Here is a 21,857-nt window from a genome sequence, read left to right as displayed (position 1 = left end):
AAGTGGAAGAGGAAAAGAGGGGAGGGAGAACTCTGAGAAAAAGAGACAGGACTGCAGAAGTAGAGGAAAAGAGAAAGGCTAAAACATATTCACTGCAGGTACCACTGGGGGGCTCCATGACTTTCTGATGTAGCTGTTTTAACACAGTGACATTCTGATGTGTCTATGAAAACAATGAAACTTTTGGTGTGTTGTCATTGATAGACAGCATGGCACAATGACTGGTTAAGACTTAACTTTGGAGTTATAATGCGGGGCTTGAATCCCATCTCTGCAGATAAACTGTGTGACCTCTGCAAGTTACTTAACTTTTTTTTGCCTTATTTTCTAAAAGGGGAATGATAATAGTGCCTACTGAATGGAATTTTTGTCAGAATAAATGAGTTAATAAATGAAAATAATAATAATGATTCTATTATTATCACATGATGAGGACACAGACCTTATTCCCAGTCCTCAGCTGGGTTTGAAGATGGAGTGAGGCTTGGTAATAGGGAGAGGATAAGGCTTAGGGATGGGAAAGGGATAGCAGCAGTTAGGGTAAGGAGGCAAGTTGTGGGTATCACCAGCAAAGTGCAGCCAAATCAGACTGCCTCATGCATCACCAAGCAGATCAAACAGACTGCATTAGAAAGTCTATTTGCCCACACCGCCATCTTTCTAATTGTAGAACATTTTTCTATCCCCACCTCCCATACTCCCTTCATTTCAGCTCCTCTTGAAGCCTCAGTTTGTTCTTCCTGTTGCTCATTCCCTCAGGAGATGAATCCCCAGCAATGTAGAGCTGCAGTGCAGTTGAAGTAATAAGCTGGAAATCAGAACTATATAATAATTTTATATTATTACAATTATTATGTAGTATCAAAATTACTTTCTGTTTTTTGAGACGGAGTCTCACTCTGCCGCCCAGGCTGAAGTGTAGTGGTGTGATCTCGGTTCACTGCAACCTCTGCCTCCTGGGTTCAAGTGATTCTCCTGCCTCAGCCTCCCCAGTAGCTGGGATTACAGGCACACACCACCACGTGTGGCTAACTCTTGTATTTTTAGTAGAGACAGGGTTTCACCATGTTGGCCAGGCTGGTCTCGAACTCTGACCTCAGGTGATCCACCCACCTCAGCCTCCCAAAGTGCTGAGATTACAGGCATGAGCCACCGTACCCAGCCCCAAATTACTTAATTTTAGTTTTTGTTTTGTACTATCACTGTGGTTCCTATCTTCTCCAGAGCTTTTTCTCTTCTGGCTTTGTACTTTTTATTCAAGCATGTATTTACATTACAGACATCTTATCAAATAATTACTGCTTAAACTAGAATTTGCTGAGCACCTATTATGTCCTAGATACTGTCCAGTGCTTTCTTACAATAACCTTATGTATTAAGTATTGTTACTCTACCTGTAAAGGTAAGGGAAACTATACCTGAGAAATCATCACTCACATAAAAAAAAAAGAGAGAGATTCTATTCATGTCCTTATTCTTTCAGCAACCCCCAATAGCCTAAGTAGTCTCCCAGGCATCAGGACTAACCTGGACTTCACCAGGACCAAATATCGTCTGCCTCAACCTGGCTTCATAGACCAGGACTGGAGCCTGAAGAGAAAGAACAATTCTAAGCAGAAGTTCAAGGAGCTGTTTAAAGAGGGTCTTTATGAGATTGTAACACAGGAAGACACAAGCAATGTTGCTTCAGTGCCCGGGGGATAAATTACTACACAGAACCAGGGCAAGAACTGAAGAGAGTAGGGTGTCATTTTCCCACTTGACAGGTTTGCCCTGTGGCATTCACTGGAAAATAATGTGGACCAGAAATCAATGTTTCTCAGTGGCCGGGGTGAGGGGCAATCTTGGAAAACCAGAGTACGAAGTAGAAGGACATGGGAAGGACAGGCAAGACAACCCCAGGATTCTCAGCAATTACTGCAGTGGGGAAGGAACGGAGGGGCCTCAAGTCCTTTACACAGGGCAAAATGATGGGGCAGTGAGAGTTGATTATGGTTATCTGTGGCTTCATTTGTATTGATGAGAAATGTGGTTACACAAAAATAAATAAGACAAATTGTCCTCAAAGAAGTGAAATTTTATGGAGTCAGACATGCAAACAGATCATTAAAAGGTGACCAGCACTATTATAATAGTCCTTACAGAGGAGGTAACAACCAAGTAAGGCTCTGAAGGATGAACAAGAGTTTGCCAAATGAAAAAGAGATGGACCAATATTCTAGCTAGGAGGAACCTCACATGCAGAGGCTTAGAGTTATGGAAAATGGAGAGATAAGTTAGGAGCAGATTGTAAAGAGGCACACCAGGAGATGTGGAATTTACTTTGTAGGCAATAGAGAACCAGCCCACCAGCCCAGACTTTCAAGTAGGGGGATCATGGAATCTTTTTTTTTGCGGGGGGGAAGGTATTTTAGAGGAAAATTTGGACAATTAGTTGAGAGGTGCAAGGTACCACCTGAATGGCAGTTGGGTAAGGACTAGAGTCAGAAGAACCACTGATGGGACTGTGGAAACAACTTGTGCAATGACCCAGCAGCCAGATATCATGCTGGTTCAGGAACCGAGGGAGGCTCTGTGAGGCCAGAGCACATTTGGCTGGAGAAGGAGGAGAGGATGGCAGTAGAAGGAGAAGGAAAAGAAGGCTGCTCACTTGCATGCAGATGCTGTGAGCTGACGGGGCAAGTTCAAATTGAAGTTAGAACAGACCACTGGGGTAGTCAAGACCTTGAAGGATGAACCTGTTTCTTTTTCATTCCTGAATCTTGCCCCAGCACCTTGGAGGCTGGGGGTGGAGGAGGTGGTGAGGTGGGGTGGGGTGGTGAGGAGCTCAGAAAATGTTTTCCTGAATTAGAGAACTGAAGGAATCAAGGCTCCGCTGAGCTCACTAAGCGCTGGAGCCTGCTGTAAGTGGTCAAGTCGGGTGATACCCAGCAGACAAGTAATTTGTGTGCAGACCGGAGTAGATTACGGAGGACCCAAGGGTCAGGCTAAGGATCCTGAACACCATCCACGATAGAGTGGAGACGTGCGCTTCGGAGCCTGAACTATGCAGCAAGCAGTGTGTTTACTCAAATACTATACAGTTGGAAAATCTTAATTCTCGATTTACATTGCCAAAAAAAAAAAAAAAAAATCTCCATAATACTCCCCCATTTGTAAATAAGCAAATCCGAACTAACCCTATTCCTTGGGACCAGAAGACCCAGTTTCTACCGCGGATAGATAGCATCCGCCTTATGCTAAAAGCTCTTTTTTCTGCGGTGGTGGGGGGCGGCGGGGAGTGTTTGGAAAGAACGGTTGCAAAAACAAAACAAAACCCCCAAAACCACTCACCCAATCTCAACCACCCCAACTGATGAATTTCGAAGAAAGTGCTTTTTAAAAAAGAAAAAACTAGAAGACCACAGACCTCCCACAGAAAGCTAAACCCATGAGAGTGGCATTCAAAAACTACCCATTTTCTGGAACATCTTTTGTAGCTAAATCCCAGCCATCCTAGCCCCGGAACACTCCCGCCCTCCGTCCCCGCACCCCCACCCCCGCCGCCACACGCGCTCGCAGGCTGACGGAGGTTGGCGGTGGGGCGGCCGCTCAGGTGAGGGGCCACCCAGTCCCTCGAGGCGCCGGCGGCTGGAGCCCATTCGCTGCCGTCGCAGCAGCAGGGCAAGAGGGGGTTGGCCAGGAGGGGAGGAGGCGGAGGACGCCCGCAGGGAGTGCGGGGGAGGGGGACGGGAGGACGCTAAGGAGAGCCGGGAGGGGCAAAAGCACGGCGCGGGGAGGGGGAGCGGAGAGGGCGGGAGCGGCGGGGGCGCGCGCCGGCGCGGGGCCAGCCTCGCTTCGCCAGGGTCGCTGGCGGACGCGCGCCGCAGTCCGAGCCTCAGACGCGCGGGCGCGGGGGACGGCGCAGGGGCCGCCTGGCTGGAGCAGCCAGAGGGGATAGCTTCGTCGAGAACGGAGGACACCGGCGGTCCAGGGTCCTGGGCAGTCGCGCCAGAGCTGAGCGGAGGGCGCGGCGCGAGAACGTAAGTAGCTCCTTGCGCGTCTGGCGGTGACACTGGGTCCTGCTCGGGGGTGACGGCTGGAGCGGAGGAGGACGCGCGAGGCTGCTGCGTTGTCACTTGGACACCGCCGCGGGGTTCAGCCGAGCGCTCACCGGGCTGGCAGCGCTGCAGGAGGGGCAAAGCAGATCTCCAACTCCCTTCTCCCCTGCAGGCCCCCGACACTCCCGCGGGCGCCGAGAGGGAGCAGGGGGACCTGCGCTTGGGTGAAGGCACAGCTGAAATCCAGCAGCGCCGGCACCCACCACCCCCTCCAGCCTGTGGCCAACTTCTGCTCCGCGCCCGCACCCCACGCTTTCCGGGAAGCCCTGCCCAGAGCTCTTGCTCGTGGGCAGTTGGGCATGGAGAGCCTGCGGGCCCGGCACGGCGGCTTCCCGGGCTTGGACACGGAGGCGCGGGGCGTCACGCCACAGTGCCGGCGGGGCGAGGAGCGCGGGGGCCGGGCCGGGAGCGCACGGGCGTGTGCCTGTTCGGGCCCCTGCGGACACGTCTGGGCGTGGGCTTTGTTCGGAAGTGCGTACACCTGTGCTGACCACGGAGTTCGGGGGCGAGGCCGACTTCGCTTCTCCAGTCGCTGCCTGGAGAGGGCTCGGGGAATCGAGGCGGAACGAGAGAGACACGGAGGACAGAGGGGTGGGGCGCTTGCGGGGGCTTTGTCGGCCTTACAGGTGCGGGTCCCGGGAGTCCCTGCGCCCCGCCCTGCCTCCGAGGGCTGGGACTTGTCGGGGCCGGCGCACCGGGCTGGGGGCTGCCTGGAAAGATTGCTTTCCCAGCCCAGGCTCTTAGCGGTGGGATCTGGCATCCGCTCCGCCCGGGATGCTGTGTTGAGCCAGGAGTGATTACCCGCCCTGGAGCATCCATCTCGCAGCGAGCGCCATCTGCGCCGAGCGCCGCCCCCGGCCCCCTCCACGCCGCGCGGGTGGGCGCTGCCGCATCCTGGTCCCAGGCGGTTGGCCAGCTCAGCTACTCCCGGCCCGCATCTGCTAGAGTGCGGAGGGGGACGGGGTGTCGCAGTAGGGTGAGCAAGGGAGTCGTCATTTCTCCCAAAGCGGTGTCCTCAGGGCCGCAAGCGCTGCTGGAGGGCTCCCCGGGCCCCGGGGCTGGCGAACAGGCCGCTTCCTTCCCCGGATCGCCTCCCCTCCCGCCCGCGCCCGCGGCCACATCTTCGTCCCCCGTACGCTGGCGGGTGGCCCCTGCGCCGCGGGCACCGAGGGAGGGCGCCGAGCGGTGGCGTTTCTTTCGCACCCCGCCTCTCTCCTTCCCTTTTCTTCGCATCAGGGGCTCCAGCCCTTGGCTACCACCGGCGCAGAACTGTCCTGAGAAGAAAGCTTTCTTTTCCTTTCCGAGTCCCAGATGGTTAACGCTCAGAAGTGCGGGTCTAAGAGACTGGGCTCTTCCTCGCCCCAGGCTTTTGCAGGAGGAGATGGAGCCAAGTGTAATGAGGCAGGAAGCATTGGTTGTGCACCAGGAGCTCCCCCTGGGGTGGTCCTGGAAAGGAACACAGTAACCTCTGAATACAAACCTCGGAGGCTGGGCTGCTTTATGGGACTGCATTGTGCTAACCATGCCCTGCTGTTAAAATATTGTAATAATGGCAGTACTTGCTGAAGTACTGAAATGGAGTTAGGCAACTGATACTTGCTGCTTTAATGGTAACGATAGCCAACCGGTTTTGAGAGCTTTAGATGTGCTGGGCGCTGCGCATGTTACATGTATCATCTCATTTAATTCTCACAGCAACCCCATTTTAAAAATTAGGAAATGAAGGCTTAGAGAAACCAAGTAACTTTCCCAAGGCCACACAGCTAGGAAGTAGGGGAGTGGGATTGTTTTTGTCCTTGTGCTTTACAATCCAAGACTGAGACTGTGGCCTTTTGGAGGCTTATCAGTTTAGGGGAAACCTAAACCACTGAGTGTTCAAAACCAGGGAGATACATTACAAGCCCATTTAATTCGGAGCTCTGCAGAACTCACAGTAGCAGGCAATATTGTGATTCAGAGAACTGTATTGTGGAATAGCCTTTTATTCCCATGTAACTCCTTTACATATTCTTTTATTCCTGTTAGCTTTTAAGTACGTGGCTGTTAACCCACAATCCAACCCATTACAGTCACTGAACAACATGTTCTTAGTAACCAGGGCCTCTGTGATTACATAGATGTTCCTGGCACATCATAAAGTTTCATAAAACTTTTTTTTCTTTAAAGAAAAGGTCCCCAGCCCTGAATGTCCTTTGTACACGGTTTTGACTGCAAATGAGTTACTCCTCAAATTGGATGTTGAGTTTGAATAGGACCCTAGCATCCAATCTTAGGAAATCATTCTATTTCCTAAATATATAGAAACATGTGGGGGCATTTATGAAGATGCTCCATGTTAACTAGTAAAAAAGGAAAATTTGAACCAAAGTGGAATCAGCTATTTCTGGAATAGCTTTTAGAATTATAATTAACTGATCAATTGGAAAAATTGATTTATTTTGCATTCATAATCCTACTGACTCATAGTCTTGTTTCAACCTTCTTTTTACTTTATTACAGGAAAGTTGCTAAACATTTTACATAATCCAGGAATTTTAGAGCTGTTAGAGGACTCAGGCAACATTGTATCTAACTAATCCTTCGAGTTTCAAAACAACTGCAATAGGGCTCAGCCTCGTAATGCAGGGTAGTGATGAGGTCTTTGGACTGAAGGCCATTGCCCTTACACCACATCATTTTTGTTAATGCTACGGTAACAGTGAATAGAAAGCAAAGCATCTTTGGAAATAGTACTTCCTGTGAGGCCAATACAACAATGATGGCAATAATCGCTAGGTGTAAGTGCTTCAGAAGTGTGAGGGGGTCCTGAGAATGTATACACCTGGGCTGTAGAAAATTTCAAGAATCATTTCAAATAATGCTTTCATGCAGGTGTAATTTTCCCTGTGTAACAGATTGAATATAAATAGACTCTACAGATATTATATTGTGTATGTACATAGGAGCTGTTGAATGGAACTCTACAGGAAGCTTTTCCGTTAAAAAGATTTCATTCATTCATTCCTTCATTCTTTAATAAATATTTACTGTGTTCCAGGCAGTGGGGATACAGTGGTGACCAAACAGAATATCTGTCCTTGGGAAGATTAATTCTAATTTTATCATCTAGCTACATACTTCATCACACAGAGTTTTTTTCACATATCACAAATGCATAGCCGATGAACTTGCACAAACTGAACACATTGACTTAACTAGCACTCAGATCAAGGAACAGTGTAATGCACATCTGAGAAAGCCCTCTTGTGGTCCCTTCCAGTCATTACTCACCCCAAAGGGTAACCACTGAGGCACTGAGGCTTTTTCCTTATATTCTCACCATAGATCAGCAGCTATTGGAATCTCATCCTCATTTTCAAAGAGTACCTACCATCTGAGAAGCTCGGTAACCCATAGCAAATTTAACTGGAATGTAGAGCTTCTAACATATTCTTTAGGAAGTTTTGTGCATTTGAATCAAAAGACTGCTTTACTTCAGTCTTCAGCTGTTGCAATGATTGATGAAGAGGAAGTGATTTGAAAATTACTAAATACATTTAGATATGCTTTTCCCTTAAAATTTTATGCTTCCCTACCTGAAGCATCCCTTCCAGGAACCTTCCTGGCAGGTGAGGACAGAGGAGAGAACTGGATGCTAAGGGCAAAAATCCAGTGACTTATTTTACTTAAACATTTTACTGCCTTGGCAAATGAAAAGCTCCTTCTGTTTAAAACAGCCTCTATTGGGATCAAAGGCTGAAGTTTCTTCCCCCCCCCACAGCATTAATGAGATATAATTGACAAGTAAAAGTTGTATACATTTAATATGTACAACATGATATTTTGATATATGTATACATTGTGAAATGATTACCACAATCAAACTAATAAACACATCTATCACCTCACACAGTTAATTTGTGTATGTGTGGTGAGAACATCTCATCTCCCCAATTCCCCTACCCACTAGCAATCACCATTCTACTCTCTGCTTCTATGAGTTTGACTGAAGTTTCTAAGAATAGGAAGATGTACCAAAATGAATTGACAAATTTTTATTTTTTCTCTTAAAATTGAAGGCTACCTGAGGAAGGAAATAGGGGAATGGCTCAGCCTTCAGCGTCAGCAACTGTAAATCCTTCATTATCAGGTTGTCTTTAAATGGGGCAGCAAATGCAATATGTTTATTTAAAAAATGTTTTTGCTAAGTTTTTTATTGTAAAATATATATGACATAAGATATGCCATTAAACTATTTCTAAGTGTATACTTCAGTGGCATTAAGTACATTCACATTGTGTGCAGCCATCACCACTATACCTCTCCAGAACATTTTTTGCCTTCCCAAATTGTAACTCTGTACACATTAAACAATAGTTCATAACCCCTCAGCCCCCAGCCCCTGGCAACAAACATCCTACTTCCAGTCTATGAATCTGATGACCCTAAGTACCTCATATGAGTGGAATCATACAGTATTTATTTGTCTTTCTGTAACTGGTTTATTTTGCTTACCATAGTGCCTTCAAGGTTGATCCATGTGTCAGAATTTCCTTCCTTTGTAATGCTGAATAATATTTCATTGTATGTATATGCCACATTTTGTTTATCCATTCATATGTCATATATACTTGGGTTACTTTCATCTTTTGGCTATTGCAAATGATGCTGCCATGAACATGGATGTACAAATATCTGAGTCACTGCTTTCAATTCTCTGGGGTATATACCCAGAAATGAGACTGCTAGATCATATGGTAGTTCTATTTTTTTTTGAGACATCGTTATACTCTTTTCCATAGTAGCTGTACCATTTTACATTTCTGCCAACAATGCGCAGGGGTTCCAGTTTGTCCACATTTTCTCCAACACTTGTTATTTTCTGTTTTCTTGATAATAGCCATCCTAATAGGTTTGAAGTGCAATCACTGTTACTTTTTTTTTCTTTCTTTGTTTTTTTTTTTTTGGAGACGGAGTCTCGCCCTGTCACTTGGGCTGGAGTGCAATGCTGCAGTCTCGGCTCACTGCAACCTCTGCCTCCCTGGTTCAAGTGATTGTCCTGCCTCAGCCACCTGATTACCTGGGATTACAGGCACCTGCCACCATGCCCAGCTAATTTTTGTATTTTTAGTAGAGACAGGGTTTTACCAGGTTGGCCAAGCTGGTCTTCAACCCCTGACCTCAGGTGATACATCCACCTTGGCCTCCCAAAGTGCTGAGATTACAAGCGTGAGTCACCACGCCCAGCCACTGTTATCTTTTAAAGCTGTAAATTAATATCTATATATTCTGAACAAGTCATTCACAGCATTTCTAATTTATTGGTTTAACATTTATTAATATGGAGGTATATGGTTTTCAACAAGTATTAATTGATTACATACTTTGTGCAAAGCAAGAAATTGATGTTGTGGAGCATATGTGTTGTAGTCCAAGTCCAGGATAAGCCAGCATTGATGGCATACATTCATGGTATTTTTCTAAAATGTTGAATTAAAGTACCTATGTCTGTAATACACTTGTGCTAAATGATTTTGCTATGAGGATAAGTTAAATAAATATGCTTTTTTTACTGCCAAAAAATGGCATTATTATTTTAATCTAGAACAAGAGCAAATTTGCCTCATATCTGAAAATAGAAATATTCTTATGCTGAATGTTTAGGGATGTACTGGCATTGTAAATTATAGTTCCACATTGGGCATTTCTCCCTACCATTGAATCTTCCAAGATGACAGCATAAACCTTCACCACCCAATTATAATTGCTTAGCTGAGCTAATAAAAAAGATGTGGTGTCAACTTAATTGACCTATTTTACTGGCCTACAAGATTGGAATTTCAAATTAGAAAAAGGTAATTTTTAACAGTCTGATGGAGGGTTTCCATCAAGTGACTAAGAAGCTAGTGAAGATAAAAAAAAAAAAAAGCCAGTGGTAAAGGGAACAAATTATAACCACTAATGCTCCTGTACTCACATACTGTCCTAATGGCATATTCAGTTCGAACACAGGAATGATGAATCTTACTTGTATTATGTGCTCTCCGAATTTCTTCCATATTGCCCTGGACTAAAACATGGTTTAATTCACATGAGAATGAAAATGACAGGTACTGTCAGGCAAAAATGATCCTTTTGAAATTCTTCTCATTAAATAATGGTAGGAAGGGCTGGAAACTATATTTTGAATATATATATGTTGAATATATATATATGTTTAAATTTTATTATGTGCATAGTGTGTTGGTTCAAAACCCACTGTAACCAGAAAAAAAAAAAATCTATTTCTAGGGCAATCTGAGGGAATCCTGTAGGAGGTCTTCCACTGGGTAATATGCAATGAATTTGATTTATCTTTCTCAAGTGGGCTGAGAGCATTCAAAAAATTCAGTATGAGTATTCAGCATGTAGTGATCTTTTCTCCAAATTTCAACTTTAAAGCTAATTTCATGCCACTTTTTGATGTCCTTGGCATTTGAATGGCATGATTTATGGCATGCATTTTTGATGAACATTTACAGACTCATATTCAACACCACTAACAGATTCTCTCTCAAGGGAAAGGGGAAGTACTAATCTCCCATTAATTATGCCTTAAGGTAAGAGTGGCCTGTCCAAAGAGTTTTGTCCTGGAGTTTTTTGGTTCTTTGAGGAAGGATGGCTTGCGAGCGAGTCCGCTGCTGCCTTCCAAAACCTGGTGTGCCTTTTCAGTCCCTTACCTCAATAGAGAGCTGAAAGGACAAAAGTGAACAAAGGAGGCCTGTTTTGCCTGCCCCACTTGCTGGGCTGTTGTCTTGGCCCTTTTCAGTGAAGGGAGGGGGGAGCTGGGTCAAAGTTGAAGAACACTGAAAAGGAATTCAAGCTTCATGTTGAAATTTGAATTATAGCTTCAGTTTGAGTGCCGAGTAGATTAGTTCGAATTGAAATTTGTGAATCTGTGGAAGCTTAAGTGACAGATGGTGTTGGAACAACCTACATAGAGCTGGATGGCACACCCGAAATGTTGAGTGCCCAAGCGAGGCACTTGGTAAACATCTAGTTAACTGACAAAAGTTTTAAAACTGTAGGAAGTTCAGTTTGCTGCTGTACGCTGCATTAAAACATTGGACTGTGTGAATTAAGGGGAGGCCCCTGTGTCTGGCGCTCACTCAGATGCACTTGTTCCCCCTAATTGCATTGCAAATATTCTTCTGACTGTTCTGCGGCTTTCCCCTCTATTATCTAGTTGAATAAATACAGAAATGCCCAACCAGCTTCCCTTGTAAAATTGCATCGCAGTGTTGTGGTGTTGTCCACAGATTGTTTTGATGTGCAACAAGATACATCTGTCCTAAATATTGTCTAACCAGTGTTTTTTCTTCCCAGATAAGTATATTTATGAAGTGTGATTTTGGCTTTCTGCTCCCGGTGGGAGTCCATCACTCTTATATTTACTCTCGAAGTTTTTCATATGGCACATGGTTTTCCATTCATTTTGGTAGGCAGCATCTGATTGAAAACATTTCAGTAGGAAACGTTTTCTAGTGTGTGCATCACTAGAATAATAAAAGCAGCTACTAGGAGGTAGAGGGTACTAGAATGTATTATAATAAGTGAAATAAAAAGCAATTTTGGGTAATTTGAAATTCTTCCTGGTATTCTGTAAAACTGCGATTGGAAATGGAAAAATTGTAGTATTTGAAAACTGAAAAATTGAAAGTTGAAACATCACCAAATTTTGCTTTCGCATCTTTGACTGCTTAAATGACTCGACATAGTCTTTTCTTCTGATGTTAGTAGCATGATGGCTAAAAGCCATTTTTGTAAATGTATATTTAGTACATTCAAATGAATATTTCTACTTTTAGGGAAATAACATTGACATGGCAATATTTGAACAGTTAGTAACATGGAAATTCCAACATAATAAATACTCTAATGTGAACAACATCTAATTTACTTCAGAATGATTATATTAACTTACACGACATGTTGTGTTTTACATGAATCATGATATATACCTTGTGTGTTTCATGAATTTTAAGGTAAATTTCATTTTAATAGATGTGCTGGGGTTTAAAAAACTCCATGGTTATGTTTACGTTTCTAGTAACAGTTACTGTGATGTGAAATTATAATGGAAGGTAAATAGATGTCAAGGGTTCACTGCTGTCCTAAAACCATGAGGGGGTTCATTAAACAGCAGAGAGGGAGTGAGTTCATGATCAGACTCATTACCTCTAAAGGTAATAGCTTAAAATTTGAAAGAAAGAGAAAGGGAAAAGAATAAAAGTTTTTATGGCTATTGCCTGGCTAATGGAGAATAGTCTCCACTTCATAGCACTCAATACGAAATATTCTAGGGATATTTTACTGTAGTACTTTGGGTCATTGCAGTAACTTGACATCATAAAATAGAAATAACTCATAAGTCACCTTACAAAAATGAAATATGATAAGACATTTACATTTAAAAGAAATGTATTGAGAAGAATTTACTAAGAATTGAAAGCTAAAGTTATTTCAGTGTAACATGCTTAAATTCCTAGCCAAATCCACTCTATTTTCCAGCTGTTTTGTTCCTTTATGTACAGGTGGCCCTAGCTTGAGAAAGTTAGCATATGAAAATGTGAACTTGGTCGGGCGCAGTGGCTCACACCTGTAGTTCCAGCACTTTGGGAGGACAGAGTAGGCGGATCATGAGATCAGGAGTTCAAGAGCGCCCTGGCCAGCATGGTAAAACCCCCTCTCTACTAAAAATACAAAAACAAAAATTAGCCAGGCATGGTGGTGCGTGCCTGTAATCCCAGCTACTCGGGAGGCTGAGGCAGGAGAATCACTGGAACCCAGGAGGCAGAGGTTTCAGTGAGCCAAGATTGTGCCACTGCACTCCAGCCTGGGCAATAGAGCGAGACGCTGTCTAAAAAAAAAAAAAAAAAAAAAAAAAGAAAGAAGTGAACTTGGCAAACCCATATGGGGTGACTGTTCACATCAAAGAGGATTCTTCACTTTGCATAAGGATTATATGATGAGTGAGCTGCTGTAATGTATCAAAGTTCAATTCATGAAAAATTTTTCAGAAATATCTAAGTAGAGACTCTGTTGAAAGAGCAAATAGATACCAAGTGAAACCTAAGCAAATAAGGCTGAATAAAAATTAGTAAAGAGGTAGACAGGTGGGTCTGGGTGTGGTGGCTCATGCTAATCCCAGCACTTTGGGAGGCCTGGGCGGGCAGATCACTTGAGGTCGGGAATTTGAGACCAGCCTGGCCAACATGGTGAAACCCCATCTCTACTAAAAAAATGCAAAAATGAGCCAGGTGTGGTGGTGGGCGTCTGTAATCCCAGCTACTCAGGAGGCTGAGGCAGGAGAATCACCTCAACCCAGGAGGCGAAGGTTGCAGTGAGCTGTGATCATGCACTTGCACTACAGCCTGGGCAACACAGCGAGACTCCATCTCAAAAAAAAAAAAAGACATAGGTTGTAAATGCAGAGAGAACATACGATTGTATAAAAATATTTGATATTTGCTCTAAATAACATTGAGGGGCCGAGTCTGCATGATAAAGAAAAGCAGATAACTAGTCATCCAGGCATTGGGGGCCCTTGCTTATCTTAGTCAGCTTTCTCCATGTCTCCTAACTTCGGAAACCATCCTTGCTCTGTTCTGCGAGGAGCCTGAGCTGCTCTTCACATTATGCATGGTGGTATGTATCTGAGAGCCCCCAAATTTGATAAATGAGTGTGTGCAAGAATGAATGACTGAATACATGAATATTGCAAAATGTCAGAATGTCAGGTGGATCTTTGTTGGGGAAAATTGGGGGGTTTTGTTCTCAGCCCTGGTTTGAAGACATAGATAGATCTAGACCATGAGAAACCAAACATTTATAATTTCATGCCTGGACTCTGTAGATTGTAATTTGCTTGCTGGTTCTAAATTAGGCACTTGAGCAAGCAGGTGAAATCATTGAATCCAGAAGGGTACTATTTAAAAAATTTCTGCTGCGGAGGTCTAAATGACATCCTTGTGACCCCAAAGAGTTCCTCTATAATTTTCTACCTTTGCTAATGGCAGATGATTCCAGATTTGCACGTGGCTTTCCTTTCCCTTCACTGTCTGAAGCTGGTGCTTGTCATTTTCCTCCGGAGGTCTCTGGGTGGCTGCACACTGACTGAGTTAAGCACTTTCTGAGATTGCTTTCTACCCTCTGAATTTGAAGAAATCAGAAGTGAGGCACACAGAACTGAAATGAAAAATGAAGAGACTGGTTTGTGAAACAGATCAGAAGCTCTCATGCTGTAGCTTTAAAAATGGAACTTTCTCCCTTAAGATGTGAGTTGAACTACAGCATGGCCTTTCGTAACTAGTTAGTGGGTTATAGGGGTTGGATTCAGGGCAGTGGTGCCATATTAGAGACACCTAGAATAAAAAGTTATGTAACATCTTTGATTAATTAAAATTTGAGAAGAACTAGGCTACTACACATAGATTAAGAAAGCTCATACACTGCATGGCTTTGGAAAAGTTACTTAAGTAACTTTTCTTTATTTAGAAAATAGAGATAAAACACAAAATCTTTGTCACCACCCAACCCTACATCACAGGGGTATGTGACTGTAACAAATGATGATGAAATGAAAGTGCTAAGAGAGAAAGATGACGTAAATCTGTGTTATTAGGTAGAATGCACTTGACATTTTTTGCACCAAAAACATGCTTGAGGCATACGTATGTATCATGTATTCTTAACAATACATGTGGCTACTCGATTTTGAATAAATGAAGTGGTCTTGCACTGCAGCCTGGAGATTGATACCCTTGTTGATGCTGCAGGATAGGACTGTTCTCAAAACACAAATTATAACCTTACTCTCCAAAAAATGATAATATATATGTTAAAGTCATGTTGAGTCAATATGATAAAATAAGAGTCAGCAAAGCTGTCGGCAGTGTGTCCTTCTGAGAAGGAACTTTTTATTTTTCAGTTGCAGTCAATGTCCATAAATCTAATTGTATTTTATTTCAAGCCATAATCCATTCATATTTTTGAAAAGGACAGTCAATAATTTTGTTGTGTGTCAGGCATGACTAACTAGCAACCCCATAAACCAATAAAGCATGAAACCATTTTAATATATTAAATTCATCTAGTTTACAAACTGCATGTACTTAGAAGTTTGAAATAAAGGGAGATACATGCAGTGTGGCTTGTGAGCAGGTTTGTATATACAGTTGAGGTATTTTGCATTTATTCTGTTCCTCTGCACCTCAGTGAAGAGATGGAGATTAAAAATTGTAATCATTATTGACCTGGACTCTGTCGACACAGAATTTTAGAAATGGGAATGTGTTATGGATTGAATTATGTCCTTTAAAATTCATATGTTGAAGTCTCAACCCCCAGTGCCTGAGAATGTGGCCTTATTTGCAGACAGGGTCTTTATAGTTAAAGTGAGATAATTAGGTTAGGCCCCAATCCATATATGATTAGTGTCCTTATAAAAAGAGGCAATTTGGAGATAGGCAGAGTAGAAGAAGGCCTGTGGAAATGAAGACAGAGATCTACAAACCAAAAATGGCCAAAGGTTGCCAGCAAACCACTAGAAGCCAGGAGAGATGCATGGAACAGATTCTCTCTCACAGCCCTTGGAAGGGACCAACCCTGCGGACACCTGGATCTTGGACTTCCTGTCTCCAGAACTGTGAAATAATAAACTTCTGTTGTGTAAGCCTCCATTTTGTGGTACTTTGTTACAGCAGCCCCGGCAAACTAATACAGAATACAATAATAGTTCATCTGTTTCTAAACCTATTTCTTACCAAAAAAAAAGAGAATACAGCTTTCCCATACCTCTGTGTCATATAGCTATGTCTATAGAGTCATCCCTCAGTATCCAAGGAAGATTGGTTCTCAGACCACCCCCTTACCCCCAGGATATCAAAATCAGAGGCTATTCAAGTCTCTGATATAAAACGGTGTAGTATTTGCGTATAACCTACATACATCCTTCCATATACTTAAAATCATCTCTAGATTACAATGTAAATGCTATGTAAATAGTTCTTACACTATATTGTTTTAAAATTTATATTATTTTAAATTGTTGCATTGTTTTATTTATTTATTTATTTAAGGATATTTTCCATCAGTGATTGGTTGAATCTACAGATGCAAAACCCAGGGATACAGAAGGCCAATTGTATCCCTATCTCTCTCTCTCTCTATCTCATCATCTATATCTATATCTGAATCTATACCTACACCTGTATCTATGTATGTATGTATGTATGTATGTATGTATGTATGTATCTATCTATCTATATCTGTATACTTTGTGTACCAAAGGAATACATATATAATAATTGGCTATTTAGAAAGTTATTCCTTGAATTAAGGCACAGAGATGCTGGGAGTGGTGAAGAGGGTATTAATTTTATTACCTGGACAAATGTTTGAAGTTGGTAGTTTAATTAGTTGATTACCTTTTTCGATTATAATCAGCTGCAACTTTGCTGCCTCCATCAAGTGTAAATTTTCATCACCTGGTAACTTAAGGGCACATATTTTGTTTAAGTCTCTACAGGTGCCAAGGCTGTGTAGTCAGAAGGTTTCTTTCAACATGAAAAATGTTACAGTTGCTGATGTTTACTCAAGCTGAGGAAAGCAAAGCCTTGAATGAGCTATCTCTTAGACAACTTCAGCCTTCAGTGGGGCAGGGTAAAAATGGCATTGTGGAGAATTTTGCAGCTAGCTATAATCAGGCAGCACCACTGTCTATTTGGAGAAACAGAATTGTCAAGAGCTTTGATTCAACTTGAATATTAATTTGAATATACTGTGAACTCTAAAACCATTTCAGCTGGTCCTTTATGATGTCTCCCCATTTGGTGTGAATGTCTGTTCTTCATTCCCACCAGCGGCAGCCTTGTCTGTCTTGGATGGTGAGCTCCTCCAGGGAAATGACCTTACCTATTAATGTCATGTGTATGGCATTTAATGAACTGTGACATACAAAAAAAAAAGGTCTAATTGTTTTAAATAATAGCAACGAGATTGTTTGGTAGGAAGATTCTTGGGATGAACACTGAGAACTTTACAATTCTGAGTTTGTGTCATTCACTGATCTCATTTTAATACATGGACCATTTGCCAATTTGAGGTTTCCTCCTGGTGAATATGTTCTTTCCGTGCTACAGACATAAATTTATTTATGATCCTGACAGGAGCAACTACAACTAATGAGAATCTACCAACATCCAGCAGGAAACAATTTTGAATTATGGCTATTTTTATTATGCATATTCTCGCAGCTTCTTTTTAACACACAAGGAAGTGAGGTGAAAATTGATTGACATGTTTAAGGCCCTAGACAGGAGCAGAGAGTACAGGCGATAGTTTGTATCTGAATATCACTGTTTCAGTATGAGCTCTTTAGATCTTTTAAATATTTGCCTTGAAAGACGGTGTTCTAAGGACAGTTTGAAAGATTTGTGGATAACACTGTCATATTTGGTGATTGACCAAAGTCATTTTGCAGATGTACTAGCATGGGACCAGTGATGCCAGTTCTGTGGTAAATCACCAGCTGGTAATCACCAGCTTTTACTACTTTGAATGGTTAATCTATATTTTCTTACATCAAACTCACATTTTAGAATTTTATGTACTAGACCACCCCATCTTATTCCCTGTTCTGGACAACAGAATACATCTTGGGAAACCAGTTACTGCCTGGAAAATGGAAATAGGCTGTGTTGTGGCTACCTGCACCTGCTCTGGTCATCGTGTAAGCATAATTCCAGCCCTCCCCACTCCCTCTTTGGTCTCCTCTACACAGTTAGGAGTGGGGCCAATCACGAATATGCATGTGTTATACACCTGTGACCAAGAGATCCTCCATCACAGAATGGCAGAGTATCAATTACTTGGAATGGATGACTCGTGGCAGCTGCTGTCTGTGACTCACCGGGCTCTCTGCCCTGCACTGACAGCTGCACATCACATCCTGTGATCATACCACCTCAGCCACCTCCATGACCAATTCATCAAAAAAAGGGGGCTGAGCCTACTGATCCCAAGGTATTACTGTATGGGCAGCCTGCTCCCGAGGTATTATATGTAAAGTTGTCTCTCTGAATTTTAGGAAATGAGATCACAATGATTTTTATAACTTATTACTATTAATAAATAACAATAATCCCTGCCATTTATTAGTTGCTTACCTATATGGAACACTTTAATGAATGATCACATTTAATCTTCACAAAAACCCTTTATATGAGAAGCTAGCAAATTGTTTCTATGAAGGGCGAGATAGTACAAATATGTAGGCATTTTAGGCTATTTGATATCTCCAAAAATTCTCATAGACACTATGTAAATGAACAGGCATGGCCATGTAAAACTTTCTTTTCAAAATTGGCGGCAGGCCAGATTTGGCCCACGGTCAAAGTTTTCCAACCCTGCTTTATGCTATTATACTCATTTTATAGATGAGGAAACTGAGGCTTAGGGAGTTTAGCTGATTAAAATAACATAGCTGCTAAGTTGCAGAGCTAGGATTCTAACCCAAGGAATTTGACCCTTATCCCTCAGTCGTAATTCCTGCACATTACTGTGTCATCCTACTATGATATATAACAAGGAAATGGACTTTTAGCTTCTGCATGGTGAGAGTTACAGTTATGACCCAAACTTCTAAGGGGAATGTTGTATAGAGAACTGAGTCCTGAAGATGCTATTTAGGAAAGTGTAGATAGTCTAATCTAATCTACAGCACATTCAGGTAATGTAATTGCATCCTTGACTAATTGAAAAAAGCTTCTAAAGTTCTTTGAGCAATCTGATATTGTGGCTGTTTTAGTCAATAGGATTGCAAAAAGCAAATGACCCTAATTTTTAAAATTATGTACATTATTAGTTTTAAAATTTTGTTTATATGTTGGGGGGTCCAAGTGTTACATAGTAAGATAACTTTTGCATATTCTCAAGGAAAAAAATTTATTTTTCACAAAAACATTATGCAGAAGAGTTTCTCCCATATTTAACATTAACTCCTTGAATGAGAATTCTAAAGGTTTTTATTTTCCAGGATGGACAACTCCTTTTGTGTTTTATTTCCATGGTAACAGTTAAGTTTGGGCTTAAGAACAACAAACCTACAAGATAACCATCCAGTTGACATTAACGGGCATCCCCTTAGAGAATTTGCAGTGCTTCATGGTGTCCAGATCGCACCTGAAGTAGAATTACAGAGGCCTGTTGTGTTTTTTATACAGCAAGCTCTTTAAAAGCTGAAGGTTCTCAGAGTAGGCTGAAATTAGGAAATACTTCGTTTTAGATAACAGTTCAGCACACACAAAAATATTGTGAGCAGCCAGAGACTTGAAAGGCATTCCCAGGACACCATAAAGAACTCCAGAACTCACCGCTTCTGACCTTTGGGTGAATAAATTTTTGGAAGTGTGCAGCTGGCAAAATGGAGGCTTCATGTGACTAAACATTTTTGCTCATACTTTGTTTGAGGGAAGCTCAAAATGGAGCCACTCCCTAGCAGAGCAATCAGTAGAGTTACCTTTAGATTGTCTTTGGAAGTGTGAAATCTTTGAATGTAAGTGAGCCTCCATTCATTACTAAGAAAGCTGACAGAGGAGTAAAACCCAACTAATGGAAAAGTTGACTGCTGTGTTCTTGTGTCTGAAGTGATTACTGTAAATTAATTGGTGTAACAAATTATAAAGGGTATGGTTGATGAATGTAGAAAACTTTTTTTCTGTTGGATCAGTTCCTTAAGTCCTCGGCTTAATTCATTTAATGAAAAAAAAATGTAACCCAAATTAAAAAATGGAATTATGGTACTATGGACAACATTTTGTTGTAAAATATATTTTACAACTTTATTAAGGTATATGCCTTTTCTGGACATTTCATATTAATGGAACCATATACTATAGAATCTTTTGTGTCTGGCTTCTTTGAGGTAGCATAATGTTTTTGAGGGTTCTCCATGTTGTAACACGTATCAGTGGTATTCCCTGGTATGTAGATACCACATTGAGTTTACGTATTCACCAGTGGATAGACATATGGACTGTTTCCAATTTGAGACTATTATTAATAATGTTGCTATGAATATTAGCGTACAAGTCCTTATGTGTCCCTATGTTTTCATTTGTCTTTGATAGATACTAGTGGAATTGCTGGCTTGTATGGTATATTTATATTTCTGATTTAAGACATTACCAAACTATTTTTTAAAGTGGCTGTATCATTTTACTTTCCCAACCAGGAATGCCTGAGGGTTCCAGCTTCTTGACATCCTTGCCAATCTTTAGTATTGCCTGTCCTTTTTTTTTTTTTTTTTTTTTTGTGACGGAGTCTTGCTCTGTCACCCAGGCTGGAGTGCAATGGCGCAATCTCGGCTTACTGCAACCTCTGCCTCCGGGTTCAAGTGATTCTCCTGCCTCAGCCTCCCTAGTAGCTGGGATTACAGGCATGCACCACCACAGCCAGCTAATTTTGTATTTTTAGTAGAGATAGGCTGGTCTCAAACTCCTGACCTCAGGTGATCCACCTGCCTCAGCCTCCCAAAGTGCTGAGATTACAGGCGTAAGCCACCATGCCCGGCTTGCCTGTCTTTTTTATTATGTCCATTCTAGTGACCATGGAGTGGTATTTCATGGTAGTTTTACTTGCACTCCCCTAATGGCTAATAACGTGGAGCATATTCTCATAGCTATTGGTGTATCTTCTTTGGTGAAATGTCTAAATGTTTTGCCGGTTTTTAGAACGGAGTCATTTATCTTCTGATTATTGAGTTTGTTTTGTAAAAATATTTTCTGGATACAAGTTCCTTATCAAATATATGGCTTGTGAATATGTTTCTCCTATTTTGTGGGTTGTCTTTTTACTTTCTTGATATGCCCTTTGAGGGAAAAAGTTTTTCATTTTGTTAAGTTCAATGTAGTTGTTTTTTCTTTTGTTGCTTGTGCTTTTGGTGTTGTATCTAATAATTTATCTCCTCACTCAACTTCACAAAAATTTACTCACATGTTTTCTCTTAAGAGTTTTCCATATACATTTTAAGGTCAACTTGTTAATTTCATGGAAAAAAGTGCTAAGATTTTGGTAGGTAGTACATTAAATCAATAGATGAACTTGGGAAGAATTGCTACCTTAATATCAAATCTTCCAATTCATAACATTTAATGTCTATTTATTTAGATTTTCTTCATGTTCTCTTAACAATGCTTTGAATTTTTGATGTAAAATCTTGCATTTTTTTGTTAAATTTATTTTAAAGTATTTTATTTTTTGTGGTGCTATTGTGATGGAATTATTTCCTTCATATCATTTTAGATCGTTTGTTAGTGATGTATAGAAAGAAAATTGACCTTACATCCTGTATCTTGCTAAACTTGTTTATTAATTCTAGTAGTCTTTAAAAATGGATTTCTCAGGATTTCCTACATTTGTGTCATCTCTGAATAAAGACAATTTTGACTCTTCCTTTCTGATTTTGATGCCATTGATTTTTATGTTCCTTATTGTACTAACTAGAAGCTCCAATACAGTGTTGAATAGAAGTGGTAAGAGTGGACATCCTTACGTTGTTCCCAATCTTAGGGGGAAAGCTTTCACCCTTTCATATTAGGTATGTTAACTGTAGATTTTTTAATAGAAGTCATTTATTTAGTTGAGAAATTTACTTCTATTCTAGCTTGTTGAGATTTTTTTTATCATGAAAGGGATTTTGTTAAATGCATTTTCTGCATCTTTTAAAACTATAATGTG

The 21,857-nt window shown here is 41.6% G+C and overlaps 1 protein-coding gene across 98 annotated transcripts in view; it reads left to right on the top strand.

Annotated features, from left to right (window-relative positions):
- The window catches only part of NRCAM (neuronal cell adhesion molecule), a 309,072-nt gene continuing 290,759 nt past the window's right edge, over window positions 3,545–21,857 (top strand). For 94 of the 98 annotated variants that reach the window (NR_163870.1, NR_163867.1, NR_163869.1 and 91 more), the window contains exon 1: window positions 3,829–4,022. The gene's annotated coding sequence lies outside the window, so the exon portion shown is untranslated. Of the gene's footprint in view, window positions 3,596–3,828; window positions 4,023–21,857 lie in introns of those variants that run through there. The other 4 variants (NM_001371122.1, NM_001371124.1, NM_001371119.1 and 1 more) reach the window with 1 other exon arrangement.

Source organism: Homo sapiens, chromosome 7, assembly GCF_000001405.40.
Source record: "Homo sapiens chromosome 7, GRCh38.p14 Primary Assembly".
Lineage (NCBI taxonomy): Eukaryota > Metazoa > Chordata > Mammalia > Primates > Hominidae > Homo > Homo sapiens.
Note: the sequence above shows the minus strand (reverse complement) of the source record. Positions and strands in the feature narration are given on the sequence as shown.